Genomic DNA, 18,797 nt, shown 5'->3' on the forward strand with positions numbered 1-18,797 from the left:
AACCAACATTATTTAAGGTTGCATAAGTTACAAGGTAGTATACTTACCGTAAGCATTAAAGGCTTCTAGAGAAAGAAATGAGTAGCCTCAGAGGATAACAGCTCTCAATATTCATGGCCAGAGGCCAGAATGTCAGAAAGAAAGTGATCAACTGCTTTTTTAACAGTGACTTCCCCTGGATGGGGAATGGAAAGCCTCTTTGGTATTCACTACGCACCAGCAAGGAGTGTGGCTCCTTCTGGGTTTTGTACAGGGCCCAGCTCTACGCACACTCATTACAAGGTTATTACCATCATTATGGTGGACAATGCAATAATATTTTAAATGGGCCAAATTTGGCTCCTAGCTATTCATGTGCTGCTCTTGCAGGCCTTAGGGAAAATAGCTTATGAGTGCAGGGAAATCTAATCTGGCCCACATCCCATTGCTTCCTCTATGACACATTGAAAAGAGCCTCTGTGAAGAATTTCCATGGTTCTGGTTTGCATGAGCACTGATGAAAAGAAGTGGACTTTGTGGATAACTCTCTGGGCCTAATAGAAGAACTTATTCGGGGTAAAAATATAAAACAAGTAAAGTTAGTTGCCCAAGCCCTCCATTATCCCTTTCTGATTCATTTCCCTGACAGCTGTATGTCTTTCTCTGATCCTATTCTCATACTCCATTTTTCCTCTTGTGAAGAAGAAAAAATTCAAAGAAAGCCAACATCTGCCAAAGTATGTTTCATGGGCTAGTAGTTCTTCAAAATGTCTTGCCACAAAAAATTCTGGAGTCAGATAGATTTTAGAGAAGTCTCTCTTGGAGAGTCATAGGGCACATATGAACATGCTAGAGATTTTGAGTGGCTTCAGAGGAAAGGGGCCTATAGAACTACGTTTAGGGCCCCTGTTTGTGACATAAGATCTAATACTTCTTAGAATTAATATTGTTCTATGGAATTATGTTTCAAATTTTACAGATCTTATGGAAATGATAATGTTTAATATTGAGGGTGTCATGTTAAGGTCAGCTGAACTTCAAACCTAAGCTATACCAGCTGAATATTTAAATGAGAAAGAGTTTTTCAAAACCTTATCCCCAAAGCAGTGAATCTAGATGAGAACTTCAAAAAATTATAAAGGCATTTATTTCTTTGCAGACACAATTCTGTATGAGAAACAAAATACCTGGTATGAGAAAATTATTAGTATCATCCAGTGTAACTGATGTTTACCATAGTTTTAGCAACTACAACTCATAATAATAAGATAGTGTGTTAAACACGGCATACCTTCTCTGATTCAGGAGATGGCTTTGCCATCAGTTGAATGATTTCTGGGAATCAAAGCTAAATTTTGAACATTGTTTTTGGATTTATTCCAAATGTAAAAAACTAAGACAATTAACTACGTAGAATATGGACCCTCGCAACTTCAAAATGCACATTTCTTTTCAACCAGATTTCTGGTAACTTTTGGTCTTGATGAAATGATTAGCTAACTGATTTTCAACTAATTTAAGAATAGGATTCCAGCAAAACAGTTTGTGCATACAATCACCTAGGCAAAGATGACCCTGGCAATTATTAGCTTGCTCTTCCTCTGCAGAATTCCTGGGGAAACATGATCCACAGTCAACTAACCATTTTCATTAATATGCACTTATTCCTGCAGAAAGAAACATAACAGGCTACTCCATCCACAGACTTTAGGCATGCAGCTTGTGTGCAAGTGAAGCTTCCACAATGTTGTTCTACTCTCATTCCTCTGCAAGGTGGCATTACTAGGGAAAGTTTAAGGGGAGTGGGTGGGCAGAAAATGATGCAAAAACTTTTTCCTGTAGAAGTGATTCTTTATCTGGGTTAAGGGCAGTACACAATTTTACAAGAAACAGAGCTTTCTGTAATTGTTGCATTGGGGTACATGTAAGGAGACACATTGCACTACATATATGTCACATGGCCCTTCTGTGGTATTGATGTTTCTTGTGATAAAAAGTAGACAAACTGAACATTCAAGGGTACATTTTAGAATAGGATTTTCAGCTAAGCAAACAAGAAACCTGCACAGAATAACAAATTTATCCAATTAAAAAAATCTTACACATAAACTAAAACCAAGAGCACTGTATTAATCCATTCTCACTCTGATATAAAGAACTGCCCAAGATTGGGTAATTTATAAAGAAAATAATTTTAATTGACTCACTTCTGCATGGCTGGGGAGGCCTCAAGAAACTTACAATCATGGTGGAAATGGAAGAGGCATGTTTTACATGGTGGCAGGCGAGAGAGAGCAAGTGCATGAAGAAGGAACTGTCAGACACTTATGAAACCACCAAATCTTGTGAGAACTCACTCACTATCATGAGAATAGCAGAGGAGACAGCATTCCCATGAACCAATCACCTCCCACGAGGTATCTCCCTGAACATGTGGAGATTATGGGGCTTACAATTCAATATGAGATTTGGGTGGGGACATAAAACCTAACCATATCAAGCACTATCTAAGATCAAGAATTTACTTTGGAATCATAAAAGCCAGTGTTCCCCTTTATTTTGGGTCGTTGGGTTGTTTGCAAAGACAGGATCTAAGATCTACCAAAGCAGAATTTTCACTATTTAAGATCTGTAAACAAAAATTTTGTGGACAGCAGGGCAAAGAATTCAGTTGAACATAGCCAGGTTTTCTAAGTAAATTAGAACATTTTAAATTATCCCATAAATTTAATAAATGTTTACTAATAATGTATTAACATCAAACGCTGCTCTAAGCTAGTTGAGAAAGTTATTTAACAAGTTTGAAGTCACTACCACCTGTTTACAGAGTGACTTGAACCTAATCTTTAGCCCAGAAAAAAATGAGTCCTGTGGAGAAGTAATCCTGTCCATTTGCACGGTTGTGAAGACAGCAAAGTCAGAACAGGAAGTCTATGCAAGAGAAATAAATGTACACTCTTATTGAAGACTTATTGATTCAGTATTGATCCAGTATTGCTGTAGACTCAGTTCAAGTTAGATCAACCTCTATATTAGGTGATAAATCACTTTGCCTGGTTTTCAATCACCTTTGCCCAATTCTCACTCAAAATGCTCCTTTGCTCTTGCCTTATTCAAGTCTACTATTCTCAAAGCTCATTCTCTTCATGAAATCCACAGATTGACTGCTTTTTTTTAAACTATCATTTTTATCAGACTTCTCCTGTATTTGAAAACTTACAATTATTTCTGATTTCCTGCTCTCAGGTCAGTGCTTAGTGCAGATTTGAGGTGAGCCAAGTTAGTGTGGGCCACTCTAGTCCTGCTCCTTTGCATCCTCTCTTCTTGATAGCAGCTGTTCCTTTCAGTGTACCTCTATGCTGCCTTCTGCTCTAATTTGTGATACTGAAGACTTCAGAATGCTACTACCTTACCTAGTGGAGTTTCCAACTCCCAAGAGGAATCACTTTTAAACTAAAAAAATTGAGCTACAAGTGGACGGTTTCCATGTACCAGTTATCAAGCAAAAGAAAATTTGAAGACTATGTGCACCTTCTAGTTTGCAAGGCAGCACCGTACGATGTGTAAGGCTGATTAATTGATTTCTCTTTATTACAGTTTCTGAACTACTAAAATGAGAATTATGAAAGTTTTTATACAGCTGTTATAGGCATAAATGACTGAATAGTTGTAAATGCTCAGGTCATAAATACTATGTAAGTGTCTAATCATTAGCTAAAAATTGGCATCCAGATATGTCAAGGTGAGAGAATAAGACTTCATGCTAAATTTGAACATGGAGTTCAAGGTCATCCATGATATGATTTCTATCTCTTCCTTCTGTATATACTTCCTACTTACTGCCCTGGGGAGAACTAACCTCTTCCATTCCTACTTCTTTACATAGGACAGACCTAGGCTGACAACTCAACCTGCTTGTCTCTCTTTTGTAACTGTGGATGAGCAAGCTAAGCCAGGAATGGCCCCTCGGTGTATGTCTCTACATTTGTGACGACCAGCCCTCTTCACCCTGCTATCTATTCCAAACTGCTGTGAATGTACTGTACATGTTTCCCTCCAGAAAATGAAATTCAAAGGCAAACAGGGAAATACAGAAGGGAACCCTTGTTAGTTTTTGGTTGTGCTTTAAAAAAAAAAAATTCACATAGTCTGTTGGTCTCTGGATCATAGCTGTTACAATATTCAACAAATTTTTGCTGAGCATCTACTGTGCAATGCCCTAAGCAATGAGATGAGGCAAAAAGAGGGGAGGGTGAGTAAGACAGCTCTTGCCTTCAAGTAGCTTTCTTTTAAAAAACCCATTCTGCTATTTTTGCAGCTCATTAAAATAAAATAAACTATCCAAATAGAGATGTTTGGAAAGCTGATGCATAGAAAATCAAGAATTAAAAATGTTTATGAATCCCAATAATTCTCCCAGGAGGAAGTTTTAAGAATGAAGAGAGAAATATTTACCATTTTGTTAAAACTGTTCTAACATGAGTCCCTTTTTCCACTTGGGCAGAGTTGAAGTGTTAAATCTAAGTCAGCATTAATGGATTTGAAAGAATATGAAGAACTAAGGACTCCTATCTGACCTGGATTCGTAATTAGAACCAGTGCTTCCCTGTGTTATGAGAGACAAGGCCCCTGTCTCTGCCTTCACTTTAGAGAAGTCTTGGTCTAGTTCTCTCAGATTATGTTTTCCCCTCAGAGGAAAGATTTGTGAAGCCAAGGAAACAAGCTCTTTGTCTAAAGGGCATTCCAAGTACCAGGATCCTGAATTTCCCACAATGGTTCCAGTGAACCATCCCAACTGTTGTATGGCCAGGGGGTGCTGTTGCTGTGAGTATGGATGGGGCTTAGCTGTGTGCACTGGCATTTCCCCAAAGGTACAGTGGGGCTCCTCATAGTTCAGGATACAGCAGGGGAAAGATAAAAGAAGGGGGCGAATCAGGGCCATGAGCTGCGGGCTGGCCCTCTACACCACGACCGCATGTGGGAATCTAAGAATTCTAAATTCTGCCTAGTTCTAAATTCTAAATTCTGCCTGGGCTTTTGGATCATGTGAAGGTATGTATTTCAAGGTAGGAAAATAGAATGTGGGTTATTCAACCGTTTGTTAGATTGATTTATAACTTTTGAATATTAGACATATCATTTGTGGGCTTCCATATTTATTCTTCCCCTACCCTCACCAATGTCAGAATATACATACAAAATGGAGTTTGGCTCTGTCTTTCTTCAGGAAATTCCTCCAGGCTCCTTCTGTGAAGCCTGTCTGTGCTCTCCCTCATTTCCTGGACAGTTTCCAGCTTTAGATCTACCTCTCTGTCTCACTTTGTAAGAAATAGACTAGTTTTTTGGATCATTGGTTTGACCTCTGCCCTTGTCTTCTCTCTTACTACCTTTGTATTTTTGTATCCCTAATGTCTGAACCCAGGTGCACTTTACCTCCTTGCTCAACAAAGTCAAGCTCAAATGAGATTTGTATGAGAGCTGGTTACCTATTCAGGGGCTGGGATTAATCAGCTGCCCCATACCTCAATTGTTCTCTGTTATAATGTATAATAAGTCCTTTTCTTGATATATATATACATATAAAGTCCTCAAAAACAAATCCAAGAATTAGCACTGACAAAAGATGTAAATTAAAAAAAGAAAGAAAGAAACTTAGCCAAAAGCCTTTGAAGTCATTAAAGCTTGGAACGACAATAGTGGTAATGCTGAGGTTTATGACCTGCGCAGGTCCATGGCATAGGCAATCTCCATATGTTGCAACTATTATGAATAGCAAAGCTTACCATCAAGTCCATTCTGTTAGACTCTAGAAATGTAAATGGCTTAATAGTTGCTAAAATTAATTAATTGGTTGAATCATTATTTCACTGCTACCACAAATATTCATCTTGCATCTGCCTAATAGATCAGCTGGTCTGTTCCCAAACAAGCCCACCATGGGTTGTTCCACTATATGTAGACATTACACAGCTATTATGGAAAAATGAACTCTTCTTCCTACTTTTCTAGCAACTAAAGCTCCCGCTCAAACACGAACACGTCTCATTTTAACTATATTTGATGTAAATATTTCTAAAGTGTCCTAATTTCCTTAGAGTATACTAATATTCTTTAATCACTCACAAAGTCAATCACTCACCATGTTTTAATCAATTCTGAGATGTACTAAGGAAATTTCAGAGTATAAATGGCAGTCTGTTTGGTTTTGGTTTCTGTATTTGTTCTTTGTAATTTTTTCATGCACTCTCATTCTTTACTTCCATCAATGTGCCTTCCTAGTACCTCTACTCCCTTTAATGTGCTTCTCACCTTTGGACTGGAAAACCACATATGGAAAAACATTTTCTAAAATAGCAGTGAGCATCTGACATATTGTCTATGAAAAAAAAGACATAAATTTAATAGACCAATTTTAAGGCATCTTTTTTGACTATTGGAGATCAGGTTTGATTATTTCCTGTTTTGCAGTTGTATTTAGAAAAAAACTTGTGTAGTGACTAGTTAGTAGGTAAATTAGGTATTATTGAAATATGCTATGAGACATGTCATAAGATAACTGACTAGTTCAGAACATGTGATTTGTTAAAAAGAGGTAAATTCAATGAAAGTAGTTTGATTTAACTGACTATCAATCAGATCAATTCACTCAACTGGCTATGTGTTTGCATTAGTGTTACGTATTTATTTTATTTTCTAAATGCTTTGCAACTCAAACTGGAATATCTAGGAAAACTGTTAAAAATAATTAAAATAGGTTAAAAGATCAGCTTTCAACATGATAGCATGAGGAACTATGCTAGCCTGCTCCTCAGCAAAACTGGAGAATATATATATATTACATATATATTATATATATAATATATATTCTTTTATATATTATATATGGTATATATTCTTTTATATATTATATATAATATATATTCTTTTATATATTATATATAGTATATATTCTTTTATATATTATATATAGTATATATTCTTTTATATATTATATATAGTATATATTCTTTTATATATTATATATAGTATATATTCTTTTATATATTATATATAGTATATATTCTTTTATATATTATATATAGTATATATTCTTTTATATATTATATATATAATATATATTCTTTTATATATCATATATAATATATATTCTTTTATATATTATATATAATATATATTCTTTTATATATTATATATCATGTATATATAATATACAAAATATATATAGATTTTATATATAGATTATTACATAATAGAATATATTATATATTATATATAATATATACATAATATATAATATTATATATGATATAATATATATCATATATATCATATAATATATATTATATATCATATATTATATATAATAATATATAGATTATATATAATTATATATATAATATATATAATTATATATATTATCTATATATAGATAATATATATAATTATATATAATATATTATATAGATTATATATAATTATATTATATACAAAATCTATATATAATATATATTATATTATATATAATATACATAACTATATAAAAAATATAATATATAATATATATAATATATAATATATATACTATATATATTATATATATAATATATATATATATAATGTTTCTGGAAATTGTCCTATTGGTGAACAGCAAATGAAGAAACATCTATTCAATAATCTTTACAAAAATTTGTTAAGAAATTAAGAATTTGTGGTATTTTGACCAAAACCACTTCCTCTTTCTCTCACTCCCAACTCAGTGAGGTAGAGACTCTACTCCAGATTGATGCCACAAAAAACACAGGGCTCACTCTCTCCCAGCACCCAAATAGAGGGCTTTTTTATTGGGGCTACCATGTCATAGTATACAGGATGTCAGTGTTTCTCATTCTGTTCCCAGTTTCCTGTTACTGAGGCTAAGTCCTGGGAAAGTTTGGTTGAGTGGTAGGGGTTCCCTTTTTGTGCCAAGCCCTCACTTGTGAAATGGAGGCTCCCCCACTGGGCACAGTGTGCTCAGAACACTGAACCCCTGATGACTCTTGCCCCAGCTTGTGAGGCTATGGTTCCGCACTAGGAAAAGCAAGCTGAGAAAACCCAAGGTTTGTGCCACCTTCTCCATGAGGCTTTTGCCTCCTGTATTAGTCTGTTCTTGCATTGCTATAAAGAAATACCTGAAGCTGGGTAGTTTATAAAGAAAATAAATTTAATTGGCTCATGATTCTGCAGGCTGTACAGGAAGCATGGTGCTAGCATCTCCTCAGCTTCTGGGGAGGCCTCAGAAAATTTACAATCGTGGTGGAAGGTGAAGGGGAGCATGAACTTCACTGGAGTACATGGTTGCAGTAGGAGCAAGAACAAGAGCAGGGGAAGTGCTACACACTTTTAAATAACCAGATCTTTCAAGAACTCACTATCAGGAGAATAGCACCAAGAGGATGGCGCTAAACCATTCATGGAGGATCCACTACCATGATCCAGTCATCTCCAACCAGGCCCCACCTCCAACATTGGGGATTACAATTGAACATAAGATATGGGTGGGGACACAGACCCAAACCATATCAAGCTCCTAAATCAGTGATGTCATTAAGAAAGCAGCTTGTCATTGTCTCCATCCCCAGCTTCAGAGCCCTGGTTCATAGATTTAGCCTGGAAAGAGAAACGGGCTATAAAGCAGATAGGATAGCTTCCAGGAAGTAACATCAGCAAGATGGTAAAATAGGAAATCTCAGGCTCCACTTCCCACTACAGAAAGTTCAACTACTAGGTTGATGTAAAAGTAATTGCAGTTTTTGCCACTGAAAGTAATGACAAAACCGTAATTACTTTTGCACCAACCTAATAGCAACTCTTCTCAAGATAGGACATCTTTTTGAAAACCACAACACTTGGAAACAAACTGGAGATATCACATGTTCTGTAGAACTGAATGAAATATAAATTAGAAGGGTAAGAAGAATGATCTCACTCTATGTCAACCCCCTCCCATCCAACCCCATGTCTGCAATGCCAGATGAAGATTTCCCTGGTCCCACAGTTTCTACAGGGAAAAAAGAGAACTGAGAATCAGAGGCAATCATCCAGCTTCTCTAGCATTCCAAGATACTTCTCAGGAAGCCCACTCTTGTCTCATCTCACAGGGAATACTTGGAAAAACGTTACGGCTATAGGGCCTGGGGTCAGGTAGGAACAAAGAAAGGAGACAGAGGTAATTACCCACCTGCAAAGCTGATCTAGTTGCCCTCAGAATCCTGGTGGGAAGCAAAAATTAGCTTGAGTTTCTAGAATGCTAGTTTTTCCACCTAGCCTCAGGGTCCACCTCAATGACCAGACCCAAACAGGGAGACACTGGTCTCTGCTCATTTTGGAATAGCAAAGTAGCTAGACCACATTATTCAGATAGAAGATTGATAAGGAAACATTGGGCTTAAACAACACTTTAGACCAAAGGGACCTAGTAGACATATACAGAGCATTTCATCCAACATTAACAGAATACACTTTCTTCTCAAGTGCACGTGGAACATTCTTCTGGATAGATCACACGTTAGGGCACTAAATATGCATCAGCAAATTTAAGAAGAATGAAACTATATCAAGTATCTTTTCTAACCACAATAAAATGAAACTAGAAATCCATAACAGGAAGAATTTTGGGAAATTCACAAATACATAGAAACTAAACAACATGCTTCTGAACAATTAATGAGTTAATAAAGAAGTTAAAAGGAAAATGTAAAAATATCTTCGAAAAAATTAAAATGGAAACACAACATACCAAAACTTGTAGGATACAGCAAAGGAAGTTCTAACAAGAAAGTTTACAGCCATAAGCACATCAAAAAGCAGAAAGATCTCAAGAAAATGACCTGAAGTTACATAGCAAGTAACTGGAAATTAAGAACAAACTAAGCCCAAAGTTAGCAGAAGGAAATAATAAAGATTAGAGCAGAAATAAATAAAATAGAGACTAAAAAAAATGCAAAAGATCAACACAACTAAGAATTGGTTCTTTGAAAAAATAAAATAGAGAAATCTTTAGCTAGACTAACTAAGAAAAAATGAGAGAAGATCAAATAAAATTAGAAATAAAAGAGAAGACATTAAATTGATACCACAGAAACACAAAAAGAAAATATTACTAAGAAAAATAAAATGCCAACAAATCTGATAACCTAGAAGAAATGAATTTCTAGACACATACCAATGCTATTCTCTAAATGAATAACTTTCTAGACAATCTACCAAGACTGAATAATGAAGAAATAGAAAATCTGAACAAATCAGTAATGAATAAGGAGATTGAATCAGTAATAAAAAGTCTCCCCCAAGAAAATCTCAAGACTTGATGGTTTCATGACTAAATTCTACCAAACGTTTAAAAAGGATATAGTAATAATTATTCTTAAAGTAATCTAAGAAGAAATACTTTTAAACTCTTTTCATAAGGTCAGAATTACCCTGATACCCAACACAAAGACATTACAAAGGAAGGAAGGAAGGAAGGGAGGGAGGGAGGGGAAGGGAGAGAGAGAGAGAGAGAGAGAAAGAAGAAAAGAAAGAGGGAGAGAAAAAGAGAAAGAAAGGAAGGAAGCAAGAAAGGAAAAAAACTAGTGGCCAATATCCTTGATGAAGATATGAAGATAGATGGAAAAATCTTCAGCAAAATGCTAGCAAATAAAATTCTCCAACACATTATATCAAGTGAGATTAATCTCTGGGATGGAAGGATGATTCAACATACACAAGTCAATACATATGATGTATCATATTAACAAAATGAAAAACAAAGACCATATTATCAATTCATTAGGTGCAGAAAAGGTAATTGAGAGAATTCAACATTTTTTTTTGTGATAAAAACTGTCACCAAATTAAGTATTGAAGAAATGTACCTAAACACAATACAGGCCATATTGAAAAGTTCACAGCTAACATTAAAGTCAACAGTGAAAAGTCTTTCCTTAAAGATCTGGAACAAGAAAAGGATGCCCACCCCATCTACCTCTGTTCAATGTAGTATTGGGAGTCCTTGTCAGAGCAATTAGGCAGGAGAATGAAACAAAAGGCATGCAAATAGGAAAGAAAGGAGCAAAATTGTTTACTTTCAGAGAGCAGTCTTTCAGAAATTATTTGCTGATGATATGACATTATATAATAGAGAAAACCCTAAAGACTCCACCAAAAAACTGTTAGAACTAATAAATGAATATAGTAAAGTTGCAGGATACAAAATAAACACACAAAAATCAGAAGAGTTTTTATACACTAATAATGAATCATCTGAAAAATAAATTAAAAGAGCAATCCTATTTAAAAGAGCTAAAAAAAGAAATTATATACTTAGAATAAATTTACTGAAGAAGGTGAAAAACCTGTACACTCAAAATGTAAAACATCAGTGGGAGAAACTAGATACAAATAAATGGAAAAATACCTTGTGTTCATGGATAAGAATAGTTAATATTGTCAAAATATCCATACTGCTCAAAGTGATCTAGAGATTCTATGCAATCACTAGCAAAATTCCAATATCTTTCTTTTATAGAAAAATAAAAAAATCCTAAAATTTGTATGGAGCTGCAAAAAAACCCCAAATAGCCAAGGCAATCAGAAGCTAAGAACACCAAGCTGGAGGTATCACATTACCTGATTTCAAACTATACTAAAAAGCTAAAAATAACAGTAATGATTTTATTTATCTTATTTTTATTTTTTATTTATATATTTATTTTTATTGGAGAGGGAGTCTTGCTCTGTCACCCAGGCTGGAGTGCAGTGGTGTGATCTTGGATCACTGCAACCTCTGCCTCCCAGGTTCAAGTGATTCTTCTACCTCAGCCTTACAAGTAGCTGGGATTACAGACACCCACTACTACTCCCAGCTAATTTTTGTATTTTTAGTAGAGATGGGGTTTCACCATATTGGCCAGGCTGGTCTTGAACTCCTGACCTTCAGTGATCCACCCATCTAGGCCTCCCAGCGTTCTGGGATTACAGGTGTGAGCCAGCATACATGGCCTTATTTTTATTTTTTTAAAACAATGCCTCACTCTGTTGCCCAGGCTGGAGTGCAGTGGCATGAACATGGCACACCGAGGCCTCAATTTCCTGGGTTCAAGTAATCCTCCCACCTCAGTCTCCTGAGTAGCTGAGACCACAGGCACACATCACCATGCCCAGCTGATTGTTTTATTTTTTGTAGAGATGAGGTTTTGCCATGTTGCCCAGGCTAGTCTTGAACTCCTGGGCTCAATCTTCCAGCCTCAGCTTCCCAAAGTGCTTGGATTACAGACATAAGCCACAACCCCCAGCCAAAGCTATAATAATTAAAATAGTATGCTACCAGCAAAAAATAGGAACATTGACCAATGAAACAGAATAGAGAGCCCAAAAATGAACCCATGCATGTAGAGTCAATTGATTTTCAATAAAGTTGCCAAGAACATGCAATGGAAAAAGGACAGTTCCTTCAATAAATGGAGTTGGAAAACTGGACATCTATATATAAAAGAACAGAACTGAGCCCTTATCTCACAGCATATACAAAAAGCTCGAAGACAAAGTCTTCAAATTAACACAATTCAACAAAGACAAAAAAGAATAAGAAAACATAAACAAAGTCTTCAAACAGACTGGAATTATGTTCCATGACCAAACCTAAGAATAATTGGTGTTCCTAAGGAAGTAGAGAAATCTAAAAGTTTGGAAAACATATTCTGGGGAGTAACTGAGGAAAACTTCCCTGGCCTGGCTAGAAACCTAGACATCCAACTACAAGAAGCACAGAAAACACCTGAGAAATTCATGGCAAAAAATCGTCACCTAGGCACATTTCATCGGGTTAAACTAAATTTAAGATGAAGGAAAACATTTTAAGAGGTGTGAGACAAAACCACCAGGTAACCTATAAAAAAAAAAACAAAAAACCTATAAGATTAACAGCAGATTTCTCAGCAGAAAACCTACAAGCTAGAAGGGTCTGGGGCCCTATCTTCAGCTGCCACAAACAAAACAATTATCAGCCAAGAATTTTGTATCCAGCAAAACTAAGCTTCATATATGAAAGAAAGATACAGTATTTTTCAGAAAAACAAATGCTGAAACAATTCACACTATCAAGCCACCACTACAAGAATTGCTAAAAGGAGTTCTAAATCTTGAAAAAAATCCTGGAAACACATCAAAACAGATCCTCTTTAAGCATAAATCTTACAGGACCTATAAAACAAAAATACAATTACAAAACAAAAAATCAAGGTATACAGCCAACAAATAGCATGATGAATGAAATGGTACGTCACATCTCAATACCAGTGTTGAATGTAAATGGTATAAATGCTCCACTTAAAAGACACAGAATTGTAGAATGGATAAGAATTCGCCAAACAACTATCTGCTGCCTTCAAGAGATTCACCTAACACATAAGGACTCACACAAACTTAAGGTAAAGGGGTAGAAAGAGACATTTCATGCAAATGGACACCAAAACCAAGTAGGAGTAGCTATCCTTATATCAGACAAAACAACCTTTAAAGCAAAAACAGTTAAAAATACAAAAAGGAAAATTATATGATGATAAAAGGTATTATCCAACAGGAAAATATCACAATCCTAAACATATATGCACCTATAACGCTGGGGCTCACAAATTTATAAAACAATTACTATTAGATCTAAGAAATGAAAGAGACAGCAACACAATAATAGTGGGGGACTTCAGTACTACACTAAGAGCACAAGACAGGTCATCAAGACAGAAAGTCAACAAAGAAACAATGAATTTAAACTATAGCCTGAAACAAATGGACTTAATGTATATGCAAAGAACATTCCATCCAACAACCACAGAATATACATGCTATTCAACAGCACATGAAACTTTCTCCAAGCTAGACCATATGATAAACCACAAAAGAAGCCACAGTAAAATTAAGAAAATTGAAATTATATCAAGCACTCTCTCAGACCACAGTGGAATAAAACTGCAAATCAACTCTAAAAGGAACCCTCAAAATCATGCAAATACAGGATAAATAACCTGCTCCTGAATGATCACTAGGTCAAAAATGAAATCAAAATGGAAATTAAAAAATTATTCAAACTACACGACAATAGTGACAAAAAACATATCAAAACCTTTGGCATACAGCAAAGACAGTGCTAAGAGGAAAGTTTGTAGCCCTAAATGCCTACATCAAAAAGTCTGAAAGAGCACAAACAGACAATCTAAGGTCATACCTCAAGGAACCAGAGAAACAATAAAAAACCAAACCCAAACCCAGCAGAAGAAAGAAAATACCAAGATCAGAGCAGAATTAATGACACTGAAACAAAATAAACAATATAAAAGATAAATAAAACAAAAAGCTGGTTCTTTGAAAAGAAAAGAAAATTGATAGACCATTAGCAACATTAACCAGCAAAAGAAGAAAGACAATACAAATAAGCTCAGTAAGAAACAAAATGGGAGATATTACAACTGACACCATAGAAATACAAAAGATCATTCAAGGGTACTATAACACCTTTATGTGCATAAACTAGAAAACCTAGAAGAGATGGATAAATTCCTGGAAAGATACAACCCTCTGAGCTTAAATCAGGAAGAATTAGATACCCTGAAAAGGCCAATAACAAGCCACGAGATTGAAATGGTAATTAAAAAATTACCAACAACAAAAAAGCCTAGGACCAGATGTATTCACAGCAGAATTCTACCAGACATTCAAAAAAGAATTGGTACCAATCCTATTGACACTATTACACAAGACAGAGGAAGAGGGAACCCTCCCTAAATCATTCTAAGAAGCCAGTAACACCCAAATACCGAATCCAGGAAAAGACATAACGAAAAAAGAAAACTACAGACCAATATCCCTGATGAACACAGATGAAAAATCCTTAGCAAAATACTAGCTAACCGAATCCAACAACATATCAAAAAGATAATCCACCATGATCAAGTGAGTTCCATACCAAGGATGCAGGGATGGTTTAACATATGCAAGTCAACAAATGTGATACACCAAATAAACAGAATTAAAAATAAAAATCACATAATTATCCCAAATGAAGAAAAAGCATTTGACAAAATCCAGCCTCCCTTTATAATTAAAACTCTCGGCAATATCAGTATAGAGGGATATACCTCAATATCATAAGAGCCATCTATGACAAACCCACAGCCAACATAATACTGAATGGGGGAAAGTTGAAAGCATTCCCTCTGAGAACTGGAACAAGACAAGGATTTCCATTCTCACCACTCCTCTTCAACATAGTACTGGAAGTTCTAGCCAGAGCAATCATACAAGAGAAAGAAATAAAGGGCATCCATATAGGTAAAGGGGAAGTCAAACTGTTGCTCTTTGGTGATGATATGATTGTTTACCTAGAAAACCCTAAAGACTCCTCCAGAAAGCTCCTAGAACTGATAAAAGAATTCAGCAAATTTTCTGGATACAAAATTAATGTACACAAATCAGTAGCTCTTCTATACGCCAACAGCAACCAAGCTGAGAATCGCATAAAAAACTCAACCTTTTTTCCAATAACTGCAAAAAGAAATAAATAAATAAGCACTTTGGAATCCACCTAACCAAGAAGGTTAAAGACCTCTACAAGAAAAACTGTAAAACACTGCGGAAAGATATCATAGACAACACAAACAAGTGGAAACAAATCCCATGCTCATGGAAGGGTAGGATCAATGTTGTGAAAATGACCATACTGCCAAAAGCCACCTACCAAATCAATGCAATTCCCATTGAAATATCACCATCATTCTTCACAGAAATAAAAAAATTTCTAAAGTTCATATGAAACCAAAAAAGAGCCTGCATAGCCAAAGCAAAAATAAGCAAGGAGAACAAATCTGGAGGTATCACATTACCTGATATCAAACTATAAGGCTATAGTCACCAAAACAGCATGATACTGGTATAAAAATAGACACATAGACCAATGGAACAGAATAGAGAACCCAGAAATAAACCCAAATGCCTACAGCAAACTGATCATTGACCAGGCAAACAAAAACCTAAAGTGCTAGGAAAATTGGCTAGCCACATGTAGGAGAATAAAACTGGATCCTCATGTATGACATTATACAAAAATCAACTCGAGTTGGATTAAGGACTTAAATCTAAGACCTGAAACTACAAAAATTCTGAAAGATAACATTGAAAGAAACCCTTGTAGACATTGGCTTAGGCAAGGATTTCATGATGAATAACCAAAGAAAATGCAATAAAAACAAAGATAAATTACCGGGACTTATTCAAACTAAAGAGCTTCTGCACGGCAAAAGGAACAGTCAGCAGAGTAAACAGAGAACCCACAGAGTGGGACAAAATCTTCACTATCTATACATCTGACAAATGACTAAAATCCAGAATCTACAATGAACTCAAACAAATCAACAAGAAAACAACAAACCGATCAAAAATTGGGCTAGGAAAATAAATAGACAATTCTCAAAAGAAGATATACAAATGGCCAACAAACATGAAAAAAATGCTAAATATCACTAATGTTCAGGGATATGGGAATCAAAACCACAATGCAATACCACCTTACTCCTGCAAAAATGGCCATAATCAAAAAATAGTCGATGTTGGTGTGGATGTGGTGAACAGTGAACACTTCCACACTGCTGGTGGGAATGCAAACTAGTATAACCACTATGGAAAAAAGTGTGGAGGTTCCTTAATGAACTAAAAGTAGAACTACCATTTGATCCAGCAGTCCCACTACTGGGTATCTACACAGAGGAAAGTAAATCATTATACAAAGGATACTTGCACATACATATTTATAACAGCACAATTCACAATTGCAAAAATGTGGAACCAACCCAAATGCCCATCCATCAATGAGTGTATAAAGCAACTGATTATTTTATATACATACATACATATATATATATATATATATATATATATATATATATATATATATATATATCCACACGATGGAATAGTACTCAGCCATAAAAAATAATTAATTTATGGCATTTGCAGTGACCTGGATAAGATTGGAGACTATTATTCCAAGTGAAGTAACTCAGGAATGGAAAAATAAACATCTCATGTTGTCACTCATAAGTGGGAGCTAAGCTGTGAGGATGCAAAGGCATAAGAATGACACAGTGAACTTTGGGGACTCAGGGGAAAAGGGTAGAAAGGGGTTGAGGGATAAAAGACTACAAGTAGGGTGCAGTATATACTGCTTGGATGATGGGTGCACCAAAATCTTACAAATTGCTGCTAAAGAACTTACTCATGTAACAAAACACCATCTGTTCCCCAAAAACTTATGGTAATAAAAATACTAAAAAAATTAAAAATAAATTTAAAAAATCAACTCAAAATGAATTAAACACTTAAATGTAAAACCAGAAACTGCAAAACTAGTAGCAGAAAACACAGGAGAAAAACTACATGACATTTGTCTGGGAATTGATTGCTTTTACCCCAAAAGTGCAAGCAGCAAAAGCAAAAATAGACAAATGGGATGTCTTCTGCACAGCAAAGGAAACCATGAAAACGATACAGAAACCACTGTCAGATTGGAAGAAAACATCTGCAAATCATACACATTTGATAAGAGATAAATATCTAAAATATATAAGAAGCTCAAACAGCTCACTAGCAAGAAAAGAAACAAAAGATTTTAAAAATGGACAAGGGATCTGAATAGACATTAAATGTATATATTTTATATATATATATATATATATATATATATATATATATATATGCTCAATGTTGCTAATCATTAGAGAAATGTAAATGAAAACCGCAATGAAATATCATCTCACACCTTCAGAATGGCTATTATCAAAAGACAAAAGATAATTATTGGCAAAAATGTACAAAAAAAAAGGGAACACTCGTATACTGCTAGTATCAATGTAAATTAGTAGAGCCATTATGGAAAACTCTATGGAAGTTCTTCAAAAAACTAAAAATTGTACCATCACATGATCCAGTAAAACAACTTCTGGATATCTACCCAACATATTTGAAATCAGTTTGTCAGAGATGGCTGCACCCCCATGTTGCAGCACTATGCAAAATAGCCAAGGCATGGAATCAACATAAATGTTTATTAACAGATGATTGGATAAAGAAAATGTTATACATATAGTTCATATATATGGTATTTGTAAAAAAGTTCATATATATACTGTTTCATTTCATTCTTATGCCTTTGCATCCTCATAGCTTAGCTCCCACTTATGAGTGACAACATACGATGTTTGGTTTTCCATTCCTGAGCTACTTCACTTAGAATAATAGTGATTATGATTCCAGTCTCATCCAAGTTGCTGCAAAGGCCATTAATTCATTCATTTTTATGGCTGACTAGTATTTCATCATATACACATACCATAGTTTCTTTATCCACTCGTTGATTGATGGGCATTTGGGTTGGTTCCACATCTTTACTATTGCTAATTGTGCTGCTATAAATATGTATGTGCAAGTATCATTTTGTATAACAACTTATTTTCCTCTGGGTAGATACCCAATAGTGGGATAGCTGGATCAAATGGTAGTTCTACTTTCAGGTCATTAAGGAATCACCACACTTTTTTCCATAGTAGTTTACATTCCCACCAACAGTGTGGAAGTGTTCCCTGTCACCGCATCCATGCCAACTCCTCTTACTATTTTTTTTTATAATGTCCATTCTTGAAGGAGCAAGGTGGTATTTCACTGTGGTTTTTATTTGGATTCCGCTGATCATTTGTGATGTTGAGCATTTTTTCATATGTTTGTTGGCCATTTTGTGTATTTTCTTTTGAGAACTG

This window comes from Homo sapiens, chromosome 2 (assembly GCF_000001405.40).
Source record: "Homo sapiens chromosome 2, GRCh38.p14 Primary Assembly".
Lineage (NCBI taxonomy): Eukaryota > Metazoa > Chordata > Mammalia > Primates > Hominidae > Homo > Homo sapiens.